The 25,038-nt window shown below is 52.2% G+C and overlaps 1 protein-coding gene across 14 annotated transcripts in view, besides 8 other annotated features; it reads left to right on the forward strand.

Moving 5' to 3' along the window:
- The window catches only part of SNAP47 (synaptosome associated protein 47), a 53,059-nt gene extending 32,604 nt beyond the window's left edge, over positions 1-20,455 (forward strand). For 11 of the 14 annotated variants that reach the window (NR_136654.2, NR_136656.2, NM_001323933.2 and 8 more), the window contains 2 exons: positions 6,188-6,312; positions 19,756-20,455. Coding sequence is in view for 10 of the 14 variants with exons in the window: in NM_001323933.2 (NP_001310862.1) it covers positions 6,188-6,312; positions 19,756-19,902 (272 nt within the window). In the remaining 4 variants the exon portion in view is untranslated. Of the gene's footprint in view, positions 1-6,187; positions 6,313-7,477; positions 7,594-15,017; positions 16,200-19,755 lie in introns of those variants that run through there. The other 3 variants (NR_136657.2, NM_001323935.1, NR_136655.2) reach the window with 2 other exon arrangements.
- Positions 697-1,447: an enhancer, noted in NCBI's record as "H3K27ac-H3K4me1 hESC enhancer chr1:227949169-227949919 (GRCh37/hg19 assembly coordinates)". NCBI's record gives its function as "activates a minimal SCP1, AML or CMV promoter by ChIP-STARR-seq in naive H9 embryonic stem cells {active_cell/tissue: H9 hESC(naive)}" and the evidence as "EXISTENCE:reporter gene assay evidence [ECO:0000049][PMID:30033119]".
- Positions 1,631-1,780: an enhancer, noted in NCBI's record as "active region_2684". NCBI's record gives its function as "activates an Ori minimal core promoter by ATAC-STARR-seq in GM12878 lymphoblastoid cells {active_cell/tissue: GM12878}" and the evidence as "EXISTENCE:reporter gene assay evidence [ECO:0000049][PMID:35858748]".
- Positions 2,101-2,190: an enhancer, noted in NCBI's record as "active region_2685". NCBI's record gives its function as "activates an Ori minimal core promoter by ATAC-STARR-seq in GM12878 lymphoblastoid cells {active_cell/tissue: GM12878}" and the evidence as "EXISTENCE:reporter gene assay evidence [ECO:0000049][PMID:35858748]".
- Positions 4,449-5,198: an enhancer, noted in NCBI's record as "H3K27ac-H3K4me1 hESC enhancer chr1:227952921-227953670 (GRCh37/hg19 assembly coordinates)". NCBI's record gives its function as "activates a minimal SCP1, AML or CMV promoter by ChIP-STARR-seq in naive H9 embryonic stem cells {active_cell/tissue: H9 hESC(naive)}" and the evidence as "EXISTENCE:reporter gene assay evidence [ECO:0000049][PMID:30033119]".
- Positions 5,199-5,948: an enhancer, noted in NCBI's record as "H3K4me1 hESC enhancer chr1:227953671-227954420 (GRCh37/hg19 assembly coordinates)". NCBI's record gives its function as "activates a minimal SCP1, AML or CMV promoter by ChIP-STARR-seq in naive H9 embryonic stem cells {active_cell/tissue: H9 hESC(naive)}" and the evidence as "EXISTENCE:reporter gene assay evidence [ECO:0000049][PMID:30033119]".
- Positions 13,294-14,111: an enhancer, noted in NCBI's record as "H3K4me1 hESC enhancer chr1:227961766-227962583 (GRCh37/hg19 assembly coordinates)". NCBI's record gives its function as "activates a minimal SCP1, AML or CMV promoter by ChIP-STARR-seq in primed H9 embryonic stem cells {active_cell/tissue: H9 hESC(primed)}" and the evidence as "EXISTENCE:reporter gene assay evidence [ECO:0000049][PMID:30033119]".
- Positions 15,823-16,023: a silencer, noted in NCBI's record as "peak747 fragment used in MPRA reporter construct". NCBI's record gives its function as "represses an SCP1 promoter by STARR-seq MPRAs in K562 erythroleukemia cells {active_cell/tissue: K562}" and the evidence as "EXISTENCE:reporter gene assay evidence [ECO:0000049][PMID:32103011]".
- Positions 17,336-18,118: an enhancer, noted in NCBI's record as "H3K4me1 hESC enhancer chr1:227965808-227966590 (GRCh37/hg19 assembly coordinates)". NCBI's record gives its function as "activates a minimal SCP1, AML or CMV promoter by ChIP-STARR-seq in naive H9 embryonic stem cells {active_cell/tissue: H9 hESC(naive)}" and the evidence as "EXISTENCE:reporter gene assay evidence [ECO:0000049][PMID:30033119]".
- Positions 20,456-25,038: the final 4,583 nt, after the last annotated feature.

The following is a 25,038-nucleotide window of genomic DNA, read 5'->3' on the forward strand; positions in this document are numbered from 1 at the left end:
GTGCTTTCTTCCCCCACAGATGTGCACGACTTTCCTACTATCCTAGTCCATCAGCCTTGGCTGGCTTTAGAGGCTATAGCCACTTCCTCTAGAGTCTCTTCCTCCCTTACAGAAATCTTTTATCTTGCCATGGTAAAATCCACCGATTTTCCCCTGCAGTTTGTCTTCGAGCTCTGATTAAGAAATCTGAATGTCATAAAAGACTCCATTTTCTAATATTAGCATTATAGCTAATACGCATGCATGTATACATATGTACACATGTGTATCAATGCCTATGTATTGTGCATGTATGTGACATGTACGTCCACACTATAATGCGTGTCTATACGTACAGCATGTAAAGCTGTATTCTTCAGGATTTTAAATGCCAGGTGTCTGTTAAAAGTAAGAGATATTTGCTACCCTTTCGGTTTCTCTAATTTTTCTCTTAAGAGAAAGATTTCAGTTCCTATAACCTGTTTCTCTAACATGAAAATGTTTTGCTTGCTATTCCAGATGGCTTCAAGTTTCGGAAAGAAATACACATAATAATAGATTGAGTCCCATGAGCCCCAGGGCTGAATACACACCCTAAAAATGAAAGGTGCACACCTTAGATATGCAGCACGTAGTTGAATCACAGAAAACCTACCACCTTTCTGTATATGTCTTAAAGTCAGGGGTTGCAAAGAGAGGCATTGACCCCTATGGAATGGAGCATGTGGTGTGAAATGTAATGAAATCCATTGATCAAGATGAGATCAAAGGTCACCATGAGCTGCTGTCACTAAAGTGCAGGCCTGAACCCGAGTGTCCTAGTGGGAGACAGGCTACAGAAGCATAGGAAGCAGAGGTCTTCACCCACATTCAAGGTAAATGGTACAGGCGTACTCCTGCACGTGGCTTCAGGGAGGAGGTATGTGACGTGCTGTGGACTGGTGGTGTGGGGACTGAAGAGGGGTCCCTGGGTATGTGTGGCGTCAGGCAGGAAGTTTGTGACATTCTGTGGAGTTCAGGACTGCTCTCCAGGGTCCCAGTAGAGAAGCACTCAGTGTGTTTAGTGGCCCTGCCATGTTGCCGACCTGGCTGCACCGTGGTGGCGAGCACTCCTGTGTTCCGCAGGCTGGTGTTTGTAAGTGGGTTCCTGCAATCTGTGCCGTTTGAGGTCAGAGGGCTATCACCTTTTCTGGGGGCCTCAACGTGCATTCAGGATTCAGGACTGATGGCGTCACCCTCCCTGCTCGGCTAGGAGGGCCCCCTTAGTTCAGGTCACCTGAGTGTGGGTTGTAGCCACAGCGAGCACCGTCTTTTCACTTGCACAGCTGCACCCGGCCCGTGGTGTTTTGAGTACCTGGGGCAGCCATCTTGCCATGTGGCACACACAGCACACAGTCCCACAGGGACCTGCTGCATGTGTGAGATGGACTGTTGCTCCTGTGGGGGACTGTTGTGCCACCTTTCCGTGCTCACTTTCACCCCCATGGGCAACCTGGCCTGTCCAGGTAAGTGCTGGTCTCATGGGGGCAGCTGTGCCTCCAGAGGGTGTTCTTGAAGAGGCTCCATGCAGGGGTTGGAGCGTGTGGTGCCCTGCCTGGTGCTATGTTAGCAAGAAGGCGGCGCCCCGTTTGATGGGAGCTCAGTAGTCTGTGGGGCACTTGTGGCTCTGAGGCCTTGCCTCTGCCTGCCGCCTGCTGCTGTTGTCCATGCGTAGGCACAGGGACTCTGTGCCAGCTTCCCTGTGTTTACTGCTCTCAGCTGGAAACTGTGGGCTCCCTGGAGGTGGAAACCATGACGGATGTCTCAGAAATCCCTGCCTCTGGGACGAGCGCTGGTGCACGTGTGGCCACAGGGTGGCAGCCTCGCGACACCGGATGGGCGCTTGTCAGGGAGGGACACCCGGGGCGGGGAGCCTTTCCAGAGACCTCTGCAGGGCTGCGTGCCAAGTGCACGTTTTATTTTATTCTAGACACTCGTCCTTGCGTTGAGGAGCACCCAGGACCGCACAATCACCCTCCTCACATGTCTCTGGGCCCTGTGGCTTCTGACAGCCTTCTGGAGGCTGGGCCAGGGCTTGCACAGCAGCCTCTGTCTCAGATTTTCTTGCAGTCGGCCTGGGCTGTGGTTTGGGAGGAAGGCCACAGGGTGAGGTTTCCTTCCCACACATCCTACCAAGGGACATGCACAGTATTTTCTTTTTCTTTTTATTTATTTTTTTCTTTTAGAGACAGGGCCTTGCCCTGTCATCCAGGCTGGAGTGCAGAGGTGCAATCATAGCTCACTGTAACTTCAATCTCCTGGGCCCAAGACATCCTCCTGCCTTGGCCTCTCAAGTAGCTGGGACTATAGGCACATATCACCATGCCCAGCTAATTTTTTTTTTTTTTAATTATGGGGTCTTGCCGTGTTGCCTAGGCTGGTCTTGAACTCCTGGGCTCAAGTGATCCTCTCACCTCAGCCTCCCAGAGTGCTGGGATTTCAGGCGTGAGCCTCTACCCTGCTGTGCACAGCGTATTTGAAGGCTGTTTGATCACTGAGATTTTTCTTTGTCACTCACTGCCTGTCTTGGGGGTAAGGCCTGCCTGGGCTTCCAGCTCCCTGATGACAGCCTTGCCTGTACCTCTGCTTCCCCGGGCCGTGTGTCTGTCTGCACAGCAGCACCAGCAGCAGGACAGGGCAGGAGGCAGGCGGATGCAGTGGGCAGTTAGTAAAGGACCAGAGCATTGGGGTGGCTGAGGTTGTCTCTGCAGTTCGTTAGTGCCAGGCGTCTTTTGAGGCAGGGAAGTTCCCACTGGAGCTGAAGCACCCAGGAGCCTGCTGTGGCACCGCGGGCTCGGGTTGGGCTGACTGGGGAGCCTGGGGGTACTGCATCAGCTGGCCTGGAGCCTATCAGAGGATGCCGCTCAGCCCCCACCTGCGCGTGCGTATTGGTTGAGTGGGAGATGGAGCACACAAGCTGCTGTCTCCTCCATTCAGCTCCCTACGCTGTCCTTACCTGTGCGCTAGCTTCACAGGCCCACTAGGCCCAGCAGAGGCCTTTCCTGGGTGACAGGTGAGTGTTGGAGGCCAGGGCTGAGGGAAGGGGCTTGCTGGAGACAGACAGGCTGGTGGCCCAGGTCCCCGCTCCCAGGCAGGTGCAGGCAGCCCCTCCTCAGCACTGGCAGTGAAGACAGAGCTGTGTCTTGCACAGGGGCCTGTGGCCTCAGGGCACTCTCTTTCCAGATGACCAAGACATTCTGCAGCCAGCAGTGTGCCCTGGGCTCTTCCTGGGCTGGCTTCCTGCACCCCCAGGCCAGCAAGGCTGTGCATAGGTGTCTGGAACACTTCCTACTCCCGGACAGTCGAGTCACCCCACCCTTCTTGCTGTGAACCACCTGTGATGCTTTTGTTTAATTGCAGTCACTCATGACCCCAAGGCAGAAACCATCCTTACAGAACCAAATTAAGCTTTCCTGGAAGAAATGTTAAAAAGAGTGACTCAGCAGCTCCACGAGCACTGTGGCTCTGGAGATGGCAGCATGCAGCCTCACCAGGATCCCAGCCACCGCGCCCAGCAGAAACATCCATGGCTTGAGGCGTAAGAATTCTGTCCAGCCTTCTGAGTGTTTAAGCAAAGTCCTATTTGTTAAAATTCCAGAACGGCCTGAGTGTCTCTGTCACGCAGCCTCAGGTGCTGAAATGAAAGCCATGTCGTAGGTAGGGAGGCCCAGGGGCTCTGCCCTGAAGAGCCTGTGTCGGCTGGGCACGGTGGTTCATGCCTGCAGCCCAGCACTTTGGGAAGCCAATGTGGGAGGATCACTTGGGTGCAGGAGGACGAGACCAGCCTGGGTAACATATTAAGACCCCCGTCTCTATAAAAAAATACAAAAATTAAGCCAGGCGCGGTGGCTCACACCTGCAATCCCAGCAGTTGGGGAGGCAGAGGCGGGCGAATCACGAGGTCAGGAGTTCAAGACCAGCCTGACCGATATGGTGAAGCCCCATGTTACTAAAAATAAAAAAAATTAGCCGGGTGTGGTGGTGTGCACCTGTACTCCCAGCTGCTCGGGAGGCTGAGGCAGGAGAATCCCTTGAACCTGGGAGGCGGAGGTTGTGGTGAGCCGCGATCACACCACTGCACTCCAGCCTGGGCGACAGAGCAAGACTCTGTCTCAAAACAAACAAAAACACAAAAATTAGCAGGTCGTAGTGCTGCATGCCTGTGTTCTCAGCTACTCGGGAGGCTGAAGCAAGAGGATCACTCGAGCCAGGAGTTTGAGACCAACCTAGGTGACATGCTATCTCTACAAAATAAATAGTTGTTGTTTTTTAAAGCCCACATTGTAGCCAAGGAATTGCAGCTTGAGAAGATGCTGAGGAAAGCACACAGTCCTTCAGCTCCCAACACCCAGCAAGTCAAAGGGCACCAGCACATAGCAGGCTTATAGACCATCACACAGCACATTGCAGACAGCACACTGCAGACCAGACTACGAGAGCCTTGGGCAGGGCGGGGTGGGGTATGGGGCTCTTGGAGGAAGGAGGCACTGGTGCAGCGCAGGCTGGGCAGTTTGTGCCCCTCCATTCCTGTGGCCTAGGCTGTGCTGGTGCTGCGAGGTGGACGGGGGCCACCCTGTGATCTCAGGTCACCAGAGGCACACATCCTCTGAGTTTGTGGCTGTGTCTTCCAGCCTAGCTTGGCCTGTGCACTGTGGCTCAGTGTTTCAGAGAAGGGCTCCTCAGTGAGCAGCTTCATGTGAGGGCCTGCAGGCTCCTATGGGTAATGCACAAATTCAGAGAAGCACAGTAGTGGGCCGCAGCTTCCCAGAGAGCACCCACATACAGCTTGGGTGTTGCAAACCTAGGTTGTGAAATTGTTGTTGGTTGTAACCAGAGTTTGTTTCTGAAGAGTGGGATAGGAAAACAGCCCACTGGGCAATCTGTCCCGCTGGTGCTATCTGTGAAGGGAGCCCCTTACTTCCCACCTGAGTCTCACCCCACTTCCCCACTTGCACTCGCACCCATCTGCTGGGCCTGGAGCTGCTCCCTCTTTAGGGCCATCCCTGTGCTCAGTCCCCTGTGGCCCTGGGCAAGGCTGGTCCTTCTCTGCTCAGCCGGGTGCTGTCAGGGAGGGTGAGCTTGTCAGGATCATTTGGGGGTTGATAGGCTGGCGGGGGTGGCATCTTGGAGGTGGCATCTCTCCTGTGGAGGGTGGGGTTGGAAGGTGAGCTTGTCAAGATCATTTAGGGAGTGATAGGCTAGAGGGGGTATGCCCTTGGCCCCAGCAAGAGTGCACCCCCAGGTATCCCCCCTTTCCTCTCCTTTTCTGATGTCACGCTCAGCCACTGCTCCCGGGCTGCATCCATCAGGATTGAGGAGGGTACGGGCTCTGCTGGCTGAGGTAGGAACCTGGGAGGGATGCTGAGGCCACCCACCTGCCTGCCTGCCCCATCAGGAGCTGGCACTGCAGCTGCACTCTCCCTGCCTGTTTCCTGACATCCTCGTAAATGACGGCTGCACCAGACGTAGGGGAGCTGCGTGTGCTGCAGAAGAGCAAACAACATTGCGCCCTTATCTGGGCCCCGGGGTGTCAAGGCTGCTGTTGAAGCTGCTCTGTAAATAAAGGGCAGGTGGCCTCTGCAGGAGGCACACTGGGCCACCTTCTGCGGAGCGAGACTGCCTCTGGCAGGTGGCTTGGAGCCCTGAGGCTCACCACAGGGTGGAAACACCCAGGTCCTCTCTGAGCCTGACCACGGGCAGCTCTGACTCACCTCCCACCTCGGTGGCGCAGACGTGTGGCAGTGCTTGGCCTGGGCTGTGGGCCACTTCCTGTGCTCTCCAGAACCTCAGCCTTCTGCAGAGTAGCTCAGATGTCGCTGCAGTTCCCCAGTCGTGTGTGATGTGCATTTCACCAGAGTTCAATGATTCTTGTGTTTTTTACTCCAAATCTTCAGCCTTTCTCAAAAATAAAATAAAATAAAACCACTTGGGATGTAGGGCTTTTACTCTGAGAGGTACAGAGTGGCCACCGTCTGTTTGCAGTGTTGCAGACCCTAATCCTTCGGGGCCGGGTGGCAAGGCAAGGCTCACAGAGGTCGAGAGAGGAAGCAGTCCTGCGTGTGGTGGCGGGAGGAACACCGCCTCAAAGACCACGCTCTGCCATCCAGAGCACACGAGGGTTGTTGCAACTCCGAGAGATGTCACTGCTGACCATCTGCTCTCCTTGCAGCATCTGGGCTGATGGGCCGTACCCTGCACCGTGAGCCACCCGCAGGAGACCAGGAGGGCACAGCACTGCACCTGCAGACAAGCCTGCCAGCCCTTTCTGAGGCAGATACCCAGGAACTAACCCAGGTAAGATGTCCCCAGTGCCATGCCAGCCAGCGCTGTGTCCCAGTCTTCCCGCAGGCTGCTCCTCTTGCCTTTCTGATCACAAACAAGCTCTGGGTCATCCATCCGTATTGGCCTCGCACCAAGGAGGAGCTGCTGGCCTCCACTCGGCAGCTGCAGGGAGGGAGGAAGGGCAGTGTCCGTCCCAGGTCCACACACTTCCTGGAACACAACATGCACCACATTCAGACACATTCCTATGCACACACAGCTGCCCTGGCTACCACCTGCACCCATTGTACATGTCCGTGTGTGTGTGTGCACAGGTGTGTATGTTTACCGTGCATGTACATGTGCATGCTGTGTGTAGTGTGCATGTACTGTACACATTGTGCATTTGTGTGTAGTATGTGTGCTATGTGTACATATGTTATGCATGTACTTGTACTGTGTATGTGCATGTGCATGTGTGTGTACTTGTGAGTACATGTGTGTGTTGTGTGTGTTGTGTGTGTATGCACATGTGTGTGCTGTGCATGTGGTGTATGTGTTGCATGTACTATGCATGTATATGTGCTGTATGTGTACCTTGTGTGTACTGTGCATGGGCATGTGTATATGTGCATGTCTTGTGTGTGGAGCGTGCATGTACTGTACATGTATGTGTACTCTGTGTGTGCTGTGCATGTGCGTGCATGTGTGCTCTGTATACTGTGCATGCATGCAGGTACATGCCTGCTGTGTGTTGCGTGTTCTGTGTGTGCACTGTATGCATGCACAGTCGGGTGCATGGCTCACTCAGCCCTCATGTGCTGAGCACTGGTTCTTAAGGAGGCTCAGCACTTTGTGCCTGGGAGGCTGGAATTTTAATGTTCAGTGTAAATACTCCTATCTTGTCCAGAGGTTGTTGCCTAACATGCTGGCTTTCCAAGTAATTTTTGAAGCTGTACTCAGTCATCATATCACTTCATTTGTAAATATCTCCATATGTATCATTAAAGGATAAGAGCCATTCAGAAAGAACCGTACTGCCACTGTCGCCTTAGGAAACAGGAAGTCATTCCTCAGCACCATCCAGTATCCAGGCAGTGCTCCCACCTTCTGAGCCCTTGCTGAAGGGTGTGTCCCACAGGGTATGTGGCGCACATGCAGTCTCCAGGTGCAGCTTCCGTCTCGTCTTCCCCTACAGTTGATTCCTGGAAAAAGCAAAGCTGTCTGTTGGGCTGAGACTGTGCACTTTGGATCTTGCAGTTCTGTGTCCACGCAGGGCATGGGCTCCCCGTCCCTGAGCCTCTGAGTCGGCAGGTGGGTCTGGGGCTCTGTCAGGCCCGGCCCTGTTTTTGTAGGGAGTGTTTTGTGGATGGCTCTGCCCATGTCCACCAGGAGGTGGATAAAGACACTCTGTCTCTTATGCCTGTTTTTAAAAACCAATTCTTACTTTACGTGTCTGTGTAGGCATAAACTCCTTTGAGGCCAGCTTGTTTGGGGAAAAAGGTGTTCATATTTGCTCTGGGGTAATTCAAGTGGACACAGCCTGTCACTTTTTCCTCCCGGCCTCACTTAGTCATGTCTGGTAATGGCACACACAGCACTGCCTGGTAGGTGTAGCCAGCTCACTCTGCAGGTTCCTAGTCACCTTCAGATACACTCACTGCCTCCAGAACATTCTTGGCCTGGGTCTCGTTTGCTCAGGGTTTTTGAGAAATCCCAATACTGTAAAGATAGACTTACCTGATTCTTTCCCAGCCATCCTCCTGAGAGTGCCTCGGCACGTGGCTGAGACTGGCAGGATCTGAGCACACCCCACTCCCACACCCCACAAAGGTGTCCACGGCCGAGATACTCACTGTATCCCACGGTTGTGTTTAGACTGAAGTAGGAGCAAAGCTTTAAGATGAAAAAATAGGAATTTTACCTGTTAATTGCAATGGTGGCCATGTAGTTGGAGAGGCCCTCAAGTGTCCACACATCAGACTCTCCTGTCACGTGTGGCGTGTTCTTCACCTCAAAGCCCGGGAGCGTTGGGGAGGTGGTCAGGTGACTGCACGGAGCTGAGGGTGAGTGGGGCTCCCCACCAGCCATCCAGGCTGTGTCTCCCCTGGGGCTGCATGGGCACTGCCATCATTAAAGATCCAGCAAGCCCAGTGGCTCAACACCGGGAGGAACAGGCTTCACATTCACGACTGTGGCATCAAGGCCAGTGGCAGAGCGGGAGGAAGCAGTCACCCAAGGTATGGGGTTGGGAGGGCCCAGGAAGGCCTGGTGTGCCTTGGGGGCAAGGGCAGCACGTTGGTCAGATGCGGGCCCCCTTCCTTGCAGGAGGAGCCTAGTTTCACAGGAGACTGTCTTTTTGAGGCAATACATGTGTTTCCTATTTAGAGAATTCCTAGTGCACAGTTGAAGCTCAAGCAGAAGCCAGAGTGAGTTACATTTCTGGGGAAAATAAAAATGCACGAAACCCCCCTTCATCCAGCTGTGGTTTTTGTTGCAGATGCTATTAAAGCCATCATGCTGAAACGTGTCCCAGTGGTGTGGGTTGCAACTGGGGGTGCTCAGGAGAGGGTGGCTGTGATCACACAGGACAGGCAGGGGTGACACGGCGAGCCCTTCTGTCTCTGGGGCCCTGGCCACTGTGTCACTGTGGTTGTGGAGGGTGGAGGGCCGGGGGCTGTAGGAGGTGGATTTGACAGAGCCCCTGACTTGCTTCTGTTGTCCGCTTCTCTTTGCGGCTGTGGAATCCACTAGGGCCCACGCCATGGACGCGGTGCCTGGACACAGTAGAACTGGAGGTGGTCTAGGGCAGTTCCCTGGGACACTCCAGCTCATGCAGCCTCATCTGTCTTGTCCTGCTTTGGGGTTGCTGTGTCCACGTCCCTCTGTCTCCAGGGAGGAACCAGGTGGACACTCAGTGTCGACAGACACTGGGTCTGGCGGGAGAGTGGGTGGGAGCCTCGCTGGTGCCTGATGGTGGGAAAGAAGCCTGCTGCACTCCTGCCGTGGTTCCTGATAGGAACAGATGTGCCATGGCCGGTCCCTGTGGGCACAGGTCCCAGGGGTTGCTTGGGTGACGCCTCAGCCTCCTGCCTTATGGCATGGGGCGACCAGCGTACCACTGCCTGTGACGTCTCCATAAACAACAAATGCAAACACACATGGTAACAGGAAAGCCATGCAACTCATTCCATTCAGAGTCAAAGGGTTCCCAGGGAGCCGAGCCTGGTGCTGGGACGGGGGTGAGACTGAGGGTGCGGTCAGGCTCACTTGGGGCTCAGGTAGGGCTCACGTGGAGGTGTGGGACTGCAGCTTCTGGGCATGTGGGGAGCCAGGTGTTTCTGTCCTCACGTCTTTGTTTGGCAGAAACCCTCTGCCCACTCCACAGCGTCATGTCCCATGTGGACCAGTTCTGGTGATTTGCTGGAACATTCTGAAGTCATTCTGGGGCTCCCTGCCTTCTATGAAACTATTTTCAGAAGGTAACATCCCTTTCTTTCCTTTTGTTTCTCTTTTTTAGGAACTGGAGAATGCATTGCATCTTCCTCAGGGACCCCCGTTCCTGGTCTGGCTTCCCTCACTTCCCTATCCCTGATGTCTCTAATCTAAACTTTCCTCAATTAATCTGTGTCCTCTCCTAGTCAGGGGAAAAAACATGTGTGTGTACCTAATGAATGTAAGATAATCATATTCACAGAGTGTCTCCCTAGTACTTGAAATAAGGGTCTTAATCAGTGTATGACCGCCCTGGCTTCTTTGAGCTCACCGACCATGTCGGGGCCAACAGCCCCATGTGACTTTGGGCGCCTGCAGTCCCCGGGGGCTGGAGAAGCTGCATGGACACCATGCTCTGTCCTGAGCGCACCTGACACAAGTGTCGCTCTCCTGCCTGGGCCCACTGGGAGTGTGTGGAGCAGGCGAGTTGGAGAACAGGTTATGGCCAGAGGGGATGGTGGGACTGGCCACCCCCAAGGTGACTGGGCTCTGCGGGGGCACTGAACGCAGCACCCACCCTCCGAGGCTAGCCAGGCAGGAGTGGGCCTTGCTTGTGAGTGAGGAGGGGTGGGGAGGCCAGGCTCCTTCTCCACTCAGGCTCTCAGCGTCCCGTACTTTCCTGCTTTTCCAGGCTGTTCATGTCAAGTGTTCATCACGACACAGGCAGGAGGTCAATATTTTGGGGGGCTGTGAGGTTTTGTGATGCTGTTTTTATTTATGGCCTTGACAGCAGTCAGATAGAAGCGCTGAGCTAAGCCGCCATGTTTGGGGATCTGTGCCTTTACTATGAGTTCCTATTACTCATGCCCCTGACACCACATTGCATGCACTTTCTAAATGCTGATCCATAAGAAGAGGCTGGGAATGGGGACAGGGTGCCCTGCAGCCCAACATGCACACAGCAGGAGGCCATGTCCCAGGGGCGCCCTGGACCAGGTGTGGGGGCCCTGCATGCACGTAGCTTGAGGGTGCCCTGTAACTCAGACTTATGGCAGCTGAGTGGAGGCGGCATCACAGGGGAACACCACGCCTTCCCTTTTAACCTGTATGCTCTTTGGCTAATGGGTTTGTGACAGTGAACGCCTGCTCACCCGCCTCTGTGCACCCCGCCCACCCCCACCCCCACCCCCACCCTCTGCTTTTGCGGGTGAGCCACTCCTGTGCCCATGCCCCCCAAACTCCCATTGTGCTGGGCATGACTGCAGAGGACCCAGGACCCTGGGCTGAGCAGGGCCCATGGCTTCAGAGTGATGGGGACAGGAGGCCATGCCAGGCACAGCCCTTGGGGTCCCAGATGCTCACACCAACCAGTACCCAGAAACCACCTGGGAAACTACCGGTGCAAAGGGCCTGGCAGGAGAGAGTGTGGGACCTGTGCTGAGGGCCGGAGGCCAGCACCTGACAAGCCCTCCCAAGGCCACTACCAGGCTGCACCAGCTGAACAGGTCAAGCAGAGACCGAGTGCTTGACCGAGTGCTGAGTGGGACTTCAGGCTTGGAGGACTCACCCCACCCCAAGCCTTTCCTGTCCTCCCAGTTGTCGCTTTAATGAAGGCCAAGTGTGCGGGGCAAGTGCTGGGTGTCATGGAGGCCCTGGCTGTGGAAGGTAATACGTGTTATAGCAGTGGGGAGTTTCTCATTATTCACTTTTTAAAAATTGTGGTGAAATATATAAAACACAAATTTTGCCATTTTAACCATTTTTAAGTGTACAATTCAGTGGAGTTAATGAAATTCACCACCATCATCCTGCACAGAAACAGTTTCTGTGAGACACGAACCCACGTTTCTGCCCCAGCCCCCCGCCCACCACTCTGCCTTCCCTCTCTGCCAGCCTGCCACTCTGGGTTCCTTACAGCAGGGGAGTCACGCAGCCCTTGTCCTTTTGTGCCTGCCTTATTTCACTTGGCATACGGTTTTCAGGGCCCATGCACTGAAAACCCCTCTGTTGGTGGATGTACGAGCTGTTTCCTCCTTTGGGCTGCTATGGAGAATGCCGCTGTAAGCGTTCACGTGAGCATCTGTTTGAGGCCCTGCTCTCAAGTCTTTGGGGTACACAGTGGTCCTCTTATTATCAAGGGAAATGCTCTAAGACCCCTAGATCATAAAGCTTTACCCCCATGTTTTCTTAGGAGTTCTGTGGTTTTGGTTTCCTCTTTAGGTTGTGAGCCCATTCTGAGTTAATGTTTGTGTGCGGAGTGAGGTGAGGACCCAGATTTATTCTTCTGTGTGTCCAGATCGAGTTTTCCCAACACCATCTGGTAAACCAGCTGTTCTTTCCCCATTGAATGGTCTTGACACCCTTGTTGAAAATCCGTTAGCCATAGATAATATGAGTTTATCTCTGGTTTCTCACTTAATTCCATTTTGCAGTCTAATGTCACTGTTTTGATTACTGTAGCTTTGTCATAAGGTTTTTTGTATTTTTTATTTTGAGACAGGGTCTCACTCTGTCTCCCAGGCTGGAGTGCAGTGGCATGATCTCGGTTCACTGCAATCTCCGCCTCCCAGGCTCAGGTGATTCTCCCACCTCAGCCTCCCAAGTAATTGGGACTATAGGTGTGCACCACCACGTCCAGCTAATTTTTTTTTTTTTTTTTTTTTTTTGTAGACATGGAGTCTCCCTATGTTGCCCAGGCTGGTCTTGAACTCCTGGGCTCAAGCAGCCTTCCCTTCTCAGCCTCCCAAAGTGCTGAGATTATGGGCATGAGCCACTGTGCCTGGCCAAAAAAAAGTTTCAAAAGTAAAAAATAAAATAAGTTAAAAAGAGAAAACAGCATATAGGATAAGAATATAAAGAAAAATTATTCTGGCACGGCTATATAGTGTTTGTGTTTGAAATTTTATTACAGAAGAGTCAGAGTTAAAGAAAATCGTAGTTTGTAATATACAAAAGTTACAGGAAGCTAAGGCTCACCTGTTATTGAAGAAAGACTTTTTAAAATAAATTTAGTGGAGCCTTAGTGCGCAGTGTTGATAAAGTCCACAGTAGTGTTCAGTCATGCCTAAGCCTTCACGCTCACTCACCACACACCCAGGGCCGCGTCCAGTCCTGCCAGCCCTGCTCACGGGAAGCGCTCTACACTGCGTGCCATTTCGTATCTTTATGCTGCACATTTACGGCACCTTCTCCACGTTTAGATGTGCAGGTAGTTAGCGTGGTGCTCCAGCTACTTGTGCTGCTTGGTGCTGTGGTGTGCCATGCAGGCCTGCAGCTTGGGGGGGTGTGCCCCGCTACACAGCCGGCCACCACAGGCCCTGCCCCCTCAGTGTGTGTATGTGTACTCTAGCGTTGTCCCACGATGAGACCCCGAGCCATGGTTCCTCAGGATGCATCCACATCATTAGGCAGCACATGACTATTTTAGTATATCATGATTTTGTTTTCATTCATCTCAAATAATTTACTAATTTCCCTTCCATCACCTGTTGGTTGTTTAATTTGTAAACACTTCAGTTTGCCGTGTTGCTAGCTTCCCTCTGCTGTGGTTGGAGGAGACACCTGCTGTGGATCCATCTCTCTAGGCTTGTTGAGGGCTGCCTCCCAGTCCGTGGCCCATCTCCCAGCCTGTGGCCCATGGAGGCATCTGGTACAGAGGAGAATGGGCTCCTGCGGTTGTAGGTGGAGCTCTCTGCACTGGTCTCCTGGGCCATGGGTTTATAGTGCTGTGCAGGCTGCCTGTTCCTGTTTCTGTATGGATCCTCTGCTTAGCTGTTCTGTTCATTTTGACACGTTTGCTAGCCTTTAAATGTGGTCAGCAGGTATTACGCAGTCTTGGTTCAGGCTGGGAAGTGGGTTTGTGCAGCTGTTGACACCATGTGTTGAAGGATGAAAGAGCAATGCCGGAGGTAGGTTCACTGGGCCAGGTGTCACCCACCGGGAGAGTGAGGCTGCAGAGTGGCCCTCAATGGCAGGGGTCAGCACTGTGGCTGCTGCTGAGCTGTGTGTCACAGCCCTGAGTGTTGGGCCCTGTTCCTGTCCCCTCCATGCACAGCAGTGTCCCGCCTCGAGGTGTAGGTGAGAGGCAAGGGGGACCGGGCCGCAGCGCGCAGGGCAGAGCATGAGGTGCCTGGCAAGTTGGGAGCAGACTCATTGGCCACAGCTCTGGCCGTGTTGGTTCAGGCTGGGAAGTGGGTTTTGTGGGGCTGTGGCCAACCTCTTGAAAGAGCCACATTTTAGTGCATTTTCAGTTTGTTTCCTATTTTGAGGGTACCACTGAGGTTCTTCCACGTGTGCGATGCACCTTCAGTGGCACTCAGTTCACATTCACTGAACACTTTAGTGAGGGTTCATCGTCCCTCAAGCACTCGGGTCTCTTAATGGGAATCTCCATCCCTGGTCTAGGAGCAGGGAGCGCTCTTGGGCAGGACAATCCAGTCCAGGCCCAGCTCCTTGCTCTGCATGGCGTTTCCTGTGCACGCCTGGAGTGAGCTCAGCTGGCCCGGCTGAATCAAAGTCCCCTCTGAGCAGCGAGGCCGCCGTGCTCATTGCCTCGACCCACCGCCGCGGGGGCGTCCTGAGGAGGGGGGCCCTGCATCTGCCCCCCCGGCTAGTGCACAGACCACCTTGGCCTCCAGGAATGCAGCGGAGGGGACTTGGGCGGGCCGCAGGGTGGTCTGCGAGTGCCGAGTGTGACAGATCGCAGCAGAGAGTGTTCTTTACGGCCTCCAGAGCTTGGCTGCGGTGAGAGCCAATTTTCCCCCTTTACATTCTCTGCAGCATATTAATGGCCCCAACTGGTAGAACTATTTTGAGTTGTAGACAGCTTGATTTATCCCAGCTCTGTTCTTAAATGGTTGCTAATTTCTCACTGCAAGAAAATTCACAGTTCCTCAGTGAGTCAGCTTAATGACACGGCCAGGGCAGCCCAGCTAACAGCAGACTGCTCTCGGTGCTTGGCTTGGTACGGTGATGTGCCGCACTCCGGCGTCGCGAGGCGAGCCAGAGCAGACATGTCCCATGGGACACAAGAGCCGATGTCCCGCAGAGTTTGGAGGCCAAGGCCGTGCGTGCCTCTGGAGCACTGTCTTCCCGGGCTGCTGGTGGCAGCGAACGCACAAGGCTGGGACGTCTTCAGGCCCCCAGCACTCAGCCTTGCCCTAATGGTGCGCGCATGGACACACAGCTGCTTTGTAGGTGGGCCCACCCTACTTCATTAGGCTATTTTTCTATATTTATTTTTTGCCTTTATAAACAAAATGGAAATGGTGAGAATGCTAAATTCTCTTGTTTTTGCTCTGCAGGGCTTCCGGCCTATGTCGCTGTCAACCCAGACAGTGTTGGTGATGCTTTGCTCCGAGTCTGCAGGAGCTTTGTGGAGACAGAGACTTTCCTAGCAGGGCAGCAAGCGGAAGCTTTTCTTCCAGAACAGCCTTTGCTCAGGGCATGAGGGAGCCGGCCAGGCCCACAGCGCCCAGGGCATCCTCCTCACGGATGTGTTGGAGGAAAGTGGCTTTGGTGCTATCCTGGGGGACCATGGCCATAAGCTGGCAGTGTCAGCCACGCATCAGTTGCGTTTCTTTGTTCAGGTTGTGCCTCTTGCTGCCTGCCTGAGTCACCCAGGGCTGCTCCCCTTCCTGGCTCTGACGCCCTCAGCGGGTCCCACAAGCCGCTCAGGACCACAGAGTCTGGCCATGGGTCTGGCCAGGCATCCACTGATGCTCTAAGCTGCAGCTTCTCTTAGGAACACTTCTATCAGGTCTGGCTCGCAGGCATGCCCCAGGGCCAGCCTGGATTGTACTGTCCTTCAAGCACTCCTTGCTCTATTTCTTTGAAGTTTATAAAAGTTTGTTTCCCCCAAAACCCAAAGCACTTTTAATCAGGTAGTTTCTGTGGAGGTCGAACTGGCTGGAAGGAAGGCTGGTTCCTGGATTTCTTTACTCATGTAGCAGGGACTCAAGGAAGTCTGATTTGCGCCTCGCCTCTGACTCAGAGCCCATGAAGGTTCCTGTGTGAGGCCACTGGCTGCCTCGGAGCTGACAGCATCCTGCACAATGGCTAGATGGCTTGTCACCCCAGGCCGCAGAGGAACAACTGTTTCTAGGGTTTGGCCAGACTTCACATTCTCCATTCTTTCCATCCCTGTTATGTGGAATGCACACGATGCCATGTAATTACTTCAGTCCCTTCTCAAAGGAAAAAGAATCTGGACCTGCACTCCAGGACACTAGCAGTTTGAAGGTTCGCTCAGGAATGTTCTTTGTCTGCAGACCTAGCAGCTGTACAGATCGCTCTTGTGTTTTTGCACTATTAATTAACTTCAAGTGCAATTTTGGCAGGCAGGCCAAGGGTCTCAACAGGCTATTTGGAATGAGTTCTCTTTTAAGGCCTTCAACGTAGTGAGACATTTTCAAATCAAAAAGTACAGCAGGAGCCAGCCTTTATTTTGTCTGTGTACACAATAAAATATTCCGCTTCTATAGGCAGATCAGCTGGTCTTAGTCACAAATAAATTGTGCATATTATTACTGTGCTTAATAGGCAAAACCCTAAACTATAGAAATTTTTGCTATTCCCACTGCTTTCTTATGCACTAGAAAAAGGCATGAATTTGATGTCTTTTTTAAAAAAAAAAGTTATTTTATTTTCTTCTTTATATTCTGGGGAGATGTCATAGACAATATTTTTAGGTTGAGAATAATTGTACATACTCATGGGTTACGTAGTGAAGTTTTCCATACATGAAACATAAAGTGATCACATCACAACCAGGGTCACTAGCACGGCCAGTATCTTGGGCACGCACCACTCAGCCTTGCAGGGAAGGTGGCGCACAGGGGTGCCGGGCTGCCTGGGTCTGTTGGAGATGACCCTGGGGGACAGGCGTCTTGTGGGGAAGATAGTGAACGGGAGTGTGGGGCTGTTGGGGTCTGTGTGGAGGTGGCCCCAGGTGGACGGGCTTCATGCCTCCCTGTGGTCCTGATCTCCATGTGGCTCCTGATCCCTGAGTTGTTGCGGGTCTCTGCTGGGCCTTGCCGTAGGTAGTGTAACCTTCATGGCGGCTTGCTAGGACTGTATATAAAAGAAGAATATGATGTATGTTTAATAATTATTGGCATTGATGTATGTCAAATGGTACTCTATGTCTATTGGGTTCAGTACAGTATTTTATTTGTTTTCCCTATCATTTTTACCTTTGAACATCTGGGTCAGGGTTAGACAGATTTAATACAGCTTATTCAGCTACTCTTAGTGTCATCCTGCCAAAGACACTCCAGTCAGAGAGCCAGAGCAGGTCCTGGCCCAGCCTCCCTTGGATGTCCCAGGGCCCTGCCACCATCTGTAAGGGGTATAGGACTTCTGGCGGTGACCCGGGATGTGGTCTGGGTCATGCCCCACAGCATCTCTATGTGCAATGAGTGTATCCTCAGGACCGGGGGCAGGTCACCCTCTCTGTGAAACAGATAAAATGTGCCACGTTCTTAGAACAATGTCAGCTTACATTGCATATCCAATAACTCAGCTTTCATTCAGGATAGCTATAGGATGGTAAAAACAGAAGACAAAGTTGTGTATGTACTTTAATCCCAAATTTGAGTTATTCGCAAGAGTGTATGGACATAGCGACGGGGGAAAAAGCCAGATAGGAGTGTGCTTGTGTCACTGATGGTGCCAGCCTAACAGTGGTCTGTATTATGGGCAGATTTTGTTTTATTCCTTAACTTCTCTCATGTTTCCTGGTTTTCTACATGCAGTTATTAACAGAAAAGACAAATAGTGGTGTCTCCTGATAGCACTGCACGCCATGGTCATGGAGAGGGCAGAGCTGATGCAGGGGCTAGTGGGAGGCATTGGAGCTGTGGGTCCTGGCAGGGGCCTTGGGCCATCTCCCCAGCCGTCAGCTCATGGGAGCCCTGTGGCCCTGAAGGACATTTAAATTCTAAATACACTTAAATCACATTTTAGTATGGTTGACGAGGGACATAGGGACTGAGACCAGATCCCGAGCGGATCCATGTCCCTGGCTTCCAGGAGGCCTCCTCACAGGATGTGGGCACAGGGACAGTGTGAGTGTGCAGCCCAGCCATCCCTTCCAAGGGCTGTGCCTGCTGGTTCCAGCAATGCCCTCAGGATCACACTGACAGCAGGGGCAGGTGAGAAGGGAGCAGGTTAGCAGAGCCAGCAAGGGGTGGGCTGAGGCTTTCTTCCCTGTCACAGCACAATTTGGGTGTGGGCCACGTGAGATCATGGGCCAGGCGGTGGAAAAGACCTCCTGTGTGAGGTCATCTGCCCGTCCTCCTGGAGCCACTGACCCCACCATATACTTTCCAGAGCCCCATCCAGCGATCTAAGTCATGACTCAACAGATGGAGTTTCTGCCAGCTCCCGAGGGTGTAGAAGCCCTGCTGTCTGGGACTGGGGCTCTAGTCAGGCATTTATTCATCTGTCTTATGACAAATATCTCAGCAGGAAGGCCAGGTTTGGAAAGGGACATGTGGCTCATTTCACCTCTGCCGTGTGCCTGTGAGTGACCTCAGCCCCCAACTCCCTGTGCCATCTGCAGAGGGGCTGGGCAGCTGGCCGGGGAAGGGCTCCTTCTGCAGCATGGCAGCCACCCTGGCTGGGCCCATTCCGGTTTTCACAGCTTGTTCGCATTTGTGATCTCATGTGAGCCACACCGTTCAGTGGAGGGAGCTGGATCTGACCAGCTGGCCCTCTGTCCTGGCCGCCTTCATACTGTTTCTCATGGGTCAGATGAAGGCCGGACCATAGGCGGGGGCATTGCTTGTGACCCTGAATCCCAAGCTGCATGTGTCCCACTGCTGGCCACCCTGCTGGGGAGCACTGAATCACCTGCCCTGGCTGCCCAACCCCACAGGATGCTGAGCCTCCCGCCATGTCACTGGGCGGAGCGTGGGGAGGCTGCTCCCCCAGGGCTCAGGAGTGCTGTTCCTAGAGGCAACCAGAGGAGCTGTAGGGGCCCCCCTCAAGATCACCACGCCCTAGACCTTGGATGGTCACTGCTGTCCAACTGGTGGGTACACAGCACTGAGGGTTCCTTCTCCTGACCTAAGCAGTGATCCAGAACTTTCCCTGAAAGAGGACATGGACATTTATTGCAAGTGGTGGGTCACTCAAGTTTCCTTTCCAGTGTATTCTTCTCCATTGTCAGGTGGGCATATGAGGCTTCTAGACCTAGGCTGAGTGTGTAAAGCAGCGCTTCACAGTGTGGTTCACCTTCCTAGATTCCTCATAGAACACAGCTCATTAAGCCACAGACACAGCACCAGCTCAGCCCTTAGCTCATCGCCCCTGCTGCAACCAGGGGACACATCTCTGTGCTAGCATTCCTGGGGCGGCCCACCCCATCCAGCCTTCCCTATCCACACCTGCCTGGCCCTGCGTGCCTCCACCTTCTGCATCTGCTGGGCCGGGGACCATCTCCCACACCCCCACGGTGCTGGCTGCCCTCCACCGTATGGAGAGTTTCATTCTGTCATTTGCATTGTGCATGAAACATCTCACACTTAGAGACAAGAGAAGGGGTTTGTGTTTCTTTTTAATCCTGCTTTCCCACTCCAGTCTGCAGTTAGGGACCCACATGCAGACAGGTCTCACCCAGCATAGTGGCTGGGTGAGAGCTGGGACTCAAATCCGAGCTGCGTGCCCAGGTCCCCAGCTGCCCCACTGTGGGCAGGAATTCCACACCCACATGCAACGCTCCCACAAGGTCAGCCAAACAGAGCACTCCGCAGCCTGGAGATGGCAGGCCAGGGTGTGGCCACTGCACCAGGCAGGAGGTGCGGGCAGGCAGCTGGCAGGAGGTGGGGCAGGCACCTCATCTCATCAGGCCTGTACTGGCAGAGGCAGAGCCATGACCTGACCCTGGTGCTGGGCTGCCGGCTCCCTCCTGCTGGCTCGCAGATGGCATCACCCAGGTGGTAACGCAAAGGCTCTTGGGTGTGTGAGAGGGGGAGATGTTGTCTGTGCTAGAGTTTGCAGAGATGGCAGCCTCTGCTGTGATCTTGTGCTTCTCCCCAGATCCTGAGGAGGATGAAGGGGCTGGCCCTGGAGGCCGAGAGTGAGCTGGAGAGACAAGACGAAGCCCTGGATGGCGTTGCAGCAGCTGTGGACAGGGCAACCTTGACCATCGACAAGCACAACAGGCGGATGAAGAGGCTGACCTAGGGGCAGAACGTCCCTGCATTCCTGTCTCACCCTGCACATCCCGCTGAGATGGAGGGCTGGGCGGCAGTGCCAGGGCTGCAGAGGCCTGTGGCCCTCCGGAGTGGTCTTCCTCTGGATGGGGCTGCTACTGTGGGGCTGCTTCTGCACCAGGGGCCTCCCCAGGTGTGCACCATGCCTGCCTCCCACTTGGCTGTCCCTGCTGCTGGGCAGGACCCGGCCACATGTTCTGCGGATGCTGCAGAAGTGTGGACCATGGCGGGACCCCAAGGACACTTGGCACAGGCCTGGAAGAGGCCGCCCTCGTCTTGTCTCGGCTCCCTTTCATGGACAGACTGGCCTTCTTAGCTGTACTATAAATTTGTGAGTGAAGTTAGAGCCCAGCTCACTTAGCCAGCTCACTTTGAGGGCATCCTATAAACACCCAACTGTTCTTTTATCGTCTCGGTTTTAGCCAAAAGTGAAATTAGCATGACTGCATCTTTCAAACAAAAATATTGATTTCTGCTTTTAGGGCCCCGTTTCCATCCAGAAATAAAGGGAAATGCTGGCTTCAGAGTGGTTTTTGAAGATGGGTGCCAGTGTTTCCACCTGGTGCCTTGTGTCTGGGTCAGTGGCCACTCCCTCAGAGGCCCTGGGGTAGGTGAGCATGGCCTCTGGCGGGACTGCGCGTCACATTGCGGGTGGTGCCCCTTTGCCATGCTGCTTTCAGATGCCCCGTGCAGGGCTGCAAGGAAGGGTGCGGGCACATGGGAGGCGAGTCCCAGGATGGTGCCACGGCCCAGCCTGTGGGGCCTCCACGCTGGTGCACCCAATGCCCAGTGGTGCTGCCTTCCCAGGGCTGCTCAGTGAGCCTCACACACAGGGGCCCTCGCAGCTTTGCAGCCAGAAGCCCCACGTTGAGATATCCTGGGCGTGCTCCCTCCAAAGGTTCTGGGGAGGACCCTGCACGGCCGCCTGCCACAGGTCCAGGGCCCAACCTAATCCAGGATGGCCTGGTCTTGATGTCACTCACTGAGAATGTCTGCTAAGACCCCAGTTCCACAGGAGGTCCTGCTCTGAGGCTCCAGCTGGACTAGGGGCTGCAATGCCAGTCGCCAGAGCCAGTGCAGGTGCCTGGCAGGAAAACTGGGAAGCAGCCTCTCTAGAAAGCCACAGCCCAGGGAGCTCTGATTTTTTTTTTTTTTTTTTTTTTTTGAGAGGGAGTTTCACTCTTGTTGCCCAGGCTGGAGTGCAATGGCATGATCTCAGCTCACCACAACCTCCGCCTCCCAGGTTCAAGCGATTCTCCTGCCTCAGCCTCCCGAGTAGCTGGGATTACAGGCATGCGCCACCACACCTGGCTAACTTTGTATTTTTAGTAGAGATGGGGTTTCTCCATGTTGGTCAGCCTGGTCTCAACCTCTCGACCTCAAGTGATCCGCCCGCCTCAGCCTCCCACAGTGCTGAGATTACAGGCGTGAGCCACTGCACCCAGCACTCTGATGTTATTTTTTGTTTGATCTGGGAAATTGTTTTCTGCTTTTTCTTATTTGGTTTATACTTAGCAGCCTGCAGAAGGAGACCTTGCCCTGTCCCCTCTGGGGTCCTTCCACTAAGGCCACAGGTGAGTGAGTGCTCCCAGCCTGTCTGGACACCCCAAGGAGGCCAGTGTTGGCCCTCAAGCCTAGCCCAAGGCATGCGGACACCATGGCCCCCCCTCCTGTCAGTGCTGGGAGCCGGCAGCAAGGGCTCACCATGCCTGCAGCCACCGTGCAGACCCCCATCAAGCCTGGAAGAGGCTGCACCCTGTCCTCAGGACCTCACAGTGTGAGTGGGGTCTCCTCTGTCCCTGACCCCTCGCTGTTCTCAGGACTTCACAGTGTGGGTGGGGTCTCCCCTGTCCCTGACCTCTCACTGTCAGCAAGTCCTTGCAATATCAGGTGAGGCCTTTTGTGTCACTTGACCATTCCTTGTCCACTGGACCTCAAAACTAACATGATATACAGTAGTAAGAATGTAGAAACTTTCCCACTAAAATCACGACCAAGGCCCATACATCCGCTCTCACCATCTCCTTTCAGCACTTTAAGCTCTAACAGATGGAACAAGGCAAGAAAAGGAAGTTAAAGTTTAATGATACTGAAAGAAGAAACAAACTCTCTTTGTTCACAAATGACATTTTCCAGGTAGAAAGTGTAAAAAGGGATCAAGAAAATCCCCTAGAATAATGAACAACTATTCAAGATTTCAAAATATACAAAAGTTAATCACTTTCCTATATACCAACAATGGATGAGTGGATTTGAAGTTAAAAACAAAGTACTTCTACTTTAGCACCCCCAAACAATAAAATACTTAGGTACAAGTCTAAAAAAAGTGTACTCTTTCTATATATATGAGAAAAACTACAAAACCCTGATGAACAAAAGAAGAACCAAATAAATGGAGAAAAATTCCATGTTTATGGATAAGAAGACTCAGTATTTTCAACATGTTTGTTCCTTCCAGCTTGATCTATAGATTCAATGCAATTTCAATCAAAATCCCTGCAAGTTATTTTGTGGATATTAACAGATGATCCTAAAGTTTTTATGGAGAGGCAAAAGACCCAGAATAATCAATTCAATACTGAAGGAGAGGAGCAGAGTTGGAGGACTGACGCTACCTGACTAGAAGACTTACTACAAAGCTGCAGTTACCAAACCAGTGTGTTATTGGTAAAAGGAGAGACAAATAATAGAACAGATTAGGGGACCCAGAAATAGACCCATATAAATATAGTCAACTCATCTTCTGAGAAGATTCAAAGGCACCACAATGCAGAAAATGGTCCCACAATGGTGCTGGGACAACTAGATGTCCGCATGTGCAAAAGAAATCAAACAGACCCTACACCCTAAACAGAAATTAATGAAAAGGAGCTGGGCGCGGTGGCTCATGCCTGTAATCCCAGCACTTTGGGAAGCCAAGGCAGGTGGATCACTTGAGGTCAGGAGTTCGAGACCAGCCTGGCCAACATGGTGAAACCCTGTCTCTACTAAAAATACAAAATTAGCTGGGCATGATGGCGAGCACCTGTGATCCCAGCTACTCGGGAGGCTGAGGCAGGAGAATTGCTTGAACCTGGGAGGCGGAGGTGAGACAAGATCACGCCACTGCACTCCAGCCTGGGTGACAGGGTGAGATTCTGTCTCAAAAAAAAAAAAAAAATTATTCAAAGGGATCATAGACCTAAAAGTAAAATGCAAACTAGAAATGTCCTGGAATATATCATAGGAGAAAATGTAGGTTACCTTAGGTACGATGATAGCTTATAAATTTTTTTCACTCATTTAATTGTTAATATCTGTGGGTACATAATAGGTATTTATGGGGCACATGAGATGTTTTGATACAGACATGCAATGTCTGTATTTTTAGTAGAGACAGGGTTTCTATGCTTTTTTACAAACAATCCAATTATACTCTTTTAGTAATTTTTAATGTACAATTTATTGACTATAGTCACCCTGTTGTACTGTCAAATCAAAGGGCATATTTCATCTTTCTAACTGTATTTTTGTACCCATTAACCATCCTTGCCTCCTCCCCAAACCTCCACTTACCCTTCCCAGCCTCTGGTAACGATCCTTCTACTCTGTATCTCCATGAATTTGATTGTTTTAATTTTCCACAAAGAAGTGAGAACATGTGAAGTTTCTCTTTCTGTATTTGGTTTATTTCACTTTATAACATAATGATCTCCAGTTCCATCTATATTGTTGCAAATGAGAGGATCTCATTCTTTTTATGGCCAAATAGTGCTCCATTGTGTGAATGTGTATATACTTTCTTATCCATTGGTCTGTTGATGGACCCTTGGGTTGCTTCCAAATCTTGGCTATTGTGAACACTGCTGCAACAAACATGGGAGTGCAGATACCTCTTTGATATACTGACTTCCTTTCTTTTGGGTATATACCCAGCAGTGGGACTGTTGGATAATATGGTAGCTCTCTTTTTAGTTTTTTGAGGAACCTCCAAACTGTTTTCCCTAGTGGTTAATTGGTGGCTAATTTACATTCCCTTGGTAATGGCTTTTTAGATATAGCATAATAACAAAGCCATGATCCATGAAACAATAAATTGACAAGCTGGACTTTATTAAAATTTAAAACTTAATGCTCTGCAAATGACACTGTCAAGAGAATGAAATGACAAGCCACAGACTGGGAGAAAATATTTGCAAAAGATGTCTGACACAGGACTTCATCCAAAATAGAAAAAGAACTCTTGAAGCCAGGCATGGCTCCCAACAACTCAGGGGGCTGAGACGGGGGAGGATCCTTTGAGGCCATAAGTTTGAGACCAGCCTGGGCAACCAAGCCAGACCCCCATCTCTAATAACAATGCTAAAATCTAAAAAAAAACTTTTCTGAACTCTTAAAACTCAGCAAAAATTAAAACCCAAGTAAAAGTGGTACCCAAAGACCATAACAAACACCTCACCAAAAGATATACAGATGGCAAATAAGCATCTGAAGAGATGTTTCACATCGCATGCCATTAGGGAACTGCAAATTAAAACAAGGAGGTACAACTACACACCTGCTAGAATGGGCAGAATCCAAAACACTAACACCACCAGTTGCTGGGGAGGACATGGAGCAACAGGAACTCGCATCCATTGCTGGTGGAAATGCAAAATGGTGCAGCCACTTTGGAAGACAGGGTTTCACCATGTTGATCAGGCTGGTCTCGAACTCCTGACCTCGTGATCTGCTCGCCTCGGCCTCCCAAAGTGCTAGGATTACAGGCATGAGCCACCGCACCTGGTCTAAGAAATACCTGAGACTAGGTAATTTATTAAAAAAAAAAAAAAAGGTTTAATTGACTCTGTTCTGCATGGCCGGGGAGGCCTCAAGAAACTTACAATCATAGCGGAAGGCAAAGCAGAAGTAGGCACCTTCACAGGGCGGCAGGAAGAAGTGAGTGAGTGCAAGCAGGGGAATTTCCAGATGCTTATAAAACCATCAGATCTCATAAGAACTCACTATCACAAGAACAGCATAGGAGAAACTGTCCCCATGATCCAGTCACTTGCCACCAGGTCCCTCCCAGCGACCTGGGATTACGGAGATTACAATTCAAAATGAGATTTGGGCGGGGACACAGCCA

The sequence above is a fragment of the Homo sapiens genome, chromosome 1 (genome assembly GCF_000001405.40).
Source record: "Homo sapiens chromosome 1, GRCh38.p14 Primary Assembly".
Classification (NCBI taxonomy): Eukaryota; Metazoa; Chordata; class Mammalia; order Primates; family Hominidae; genus Homo; species Homo sapiens.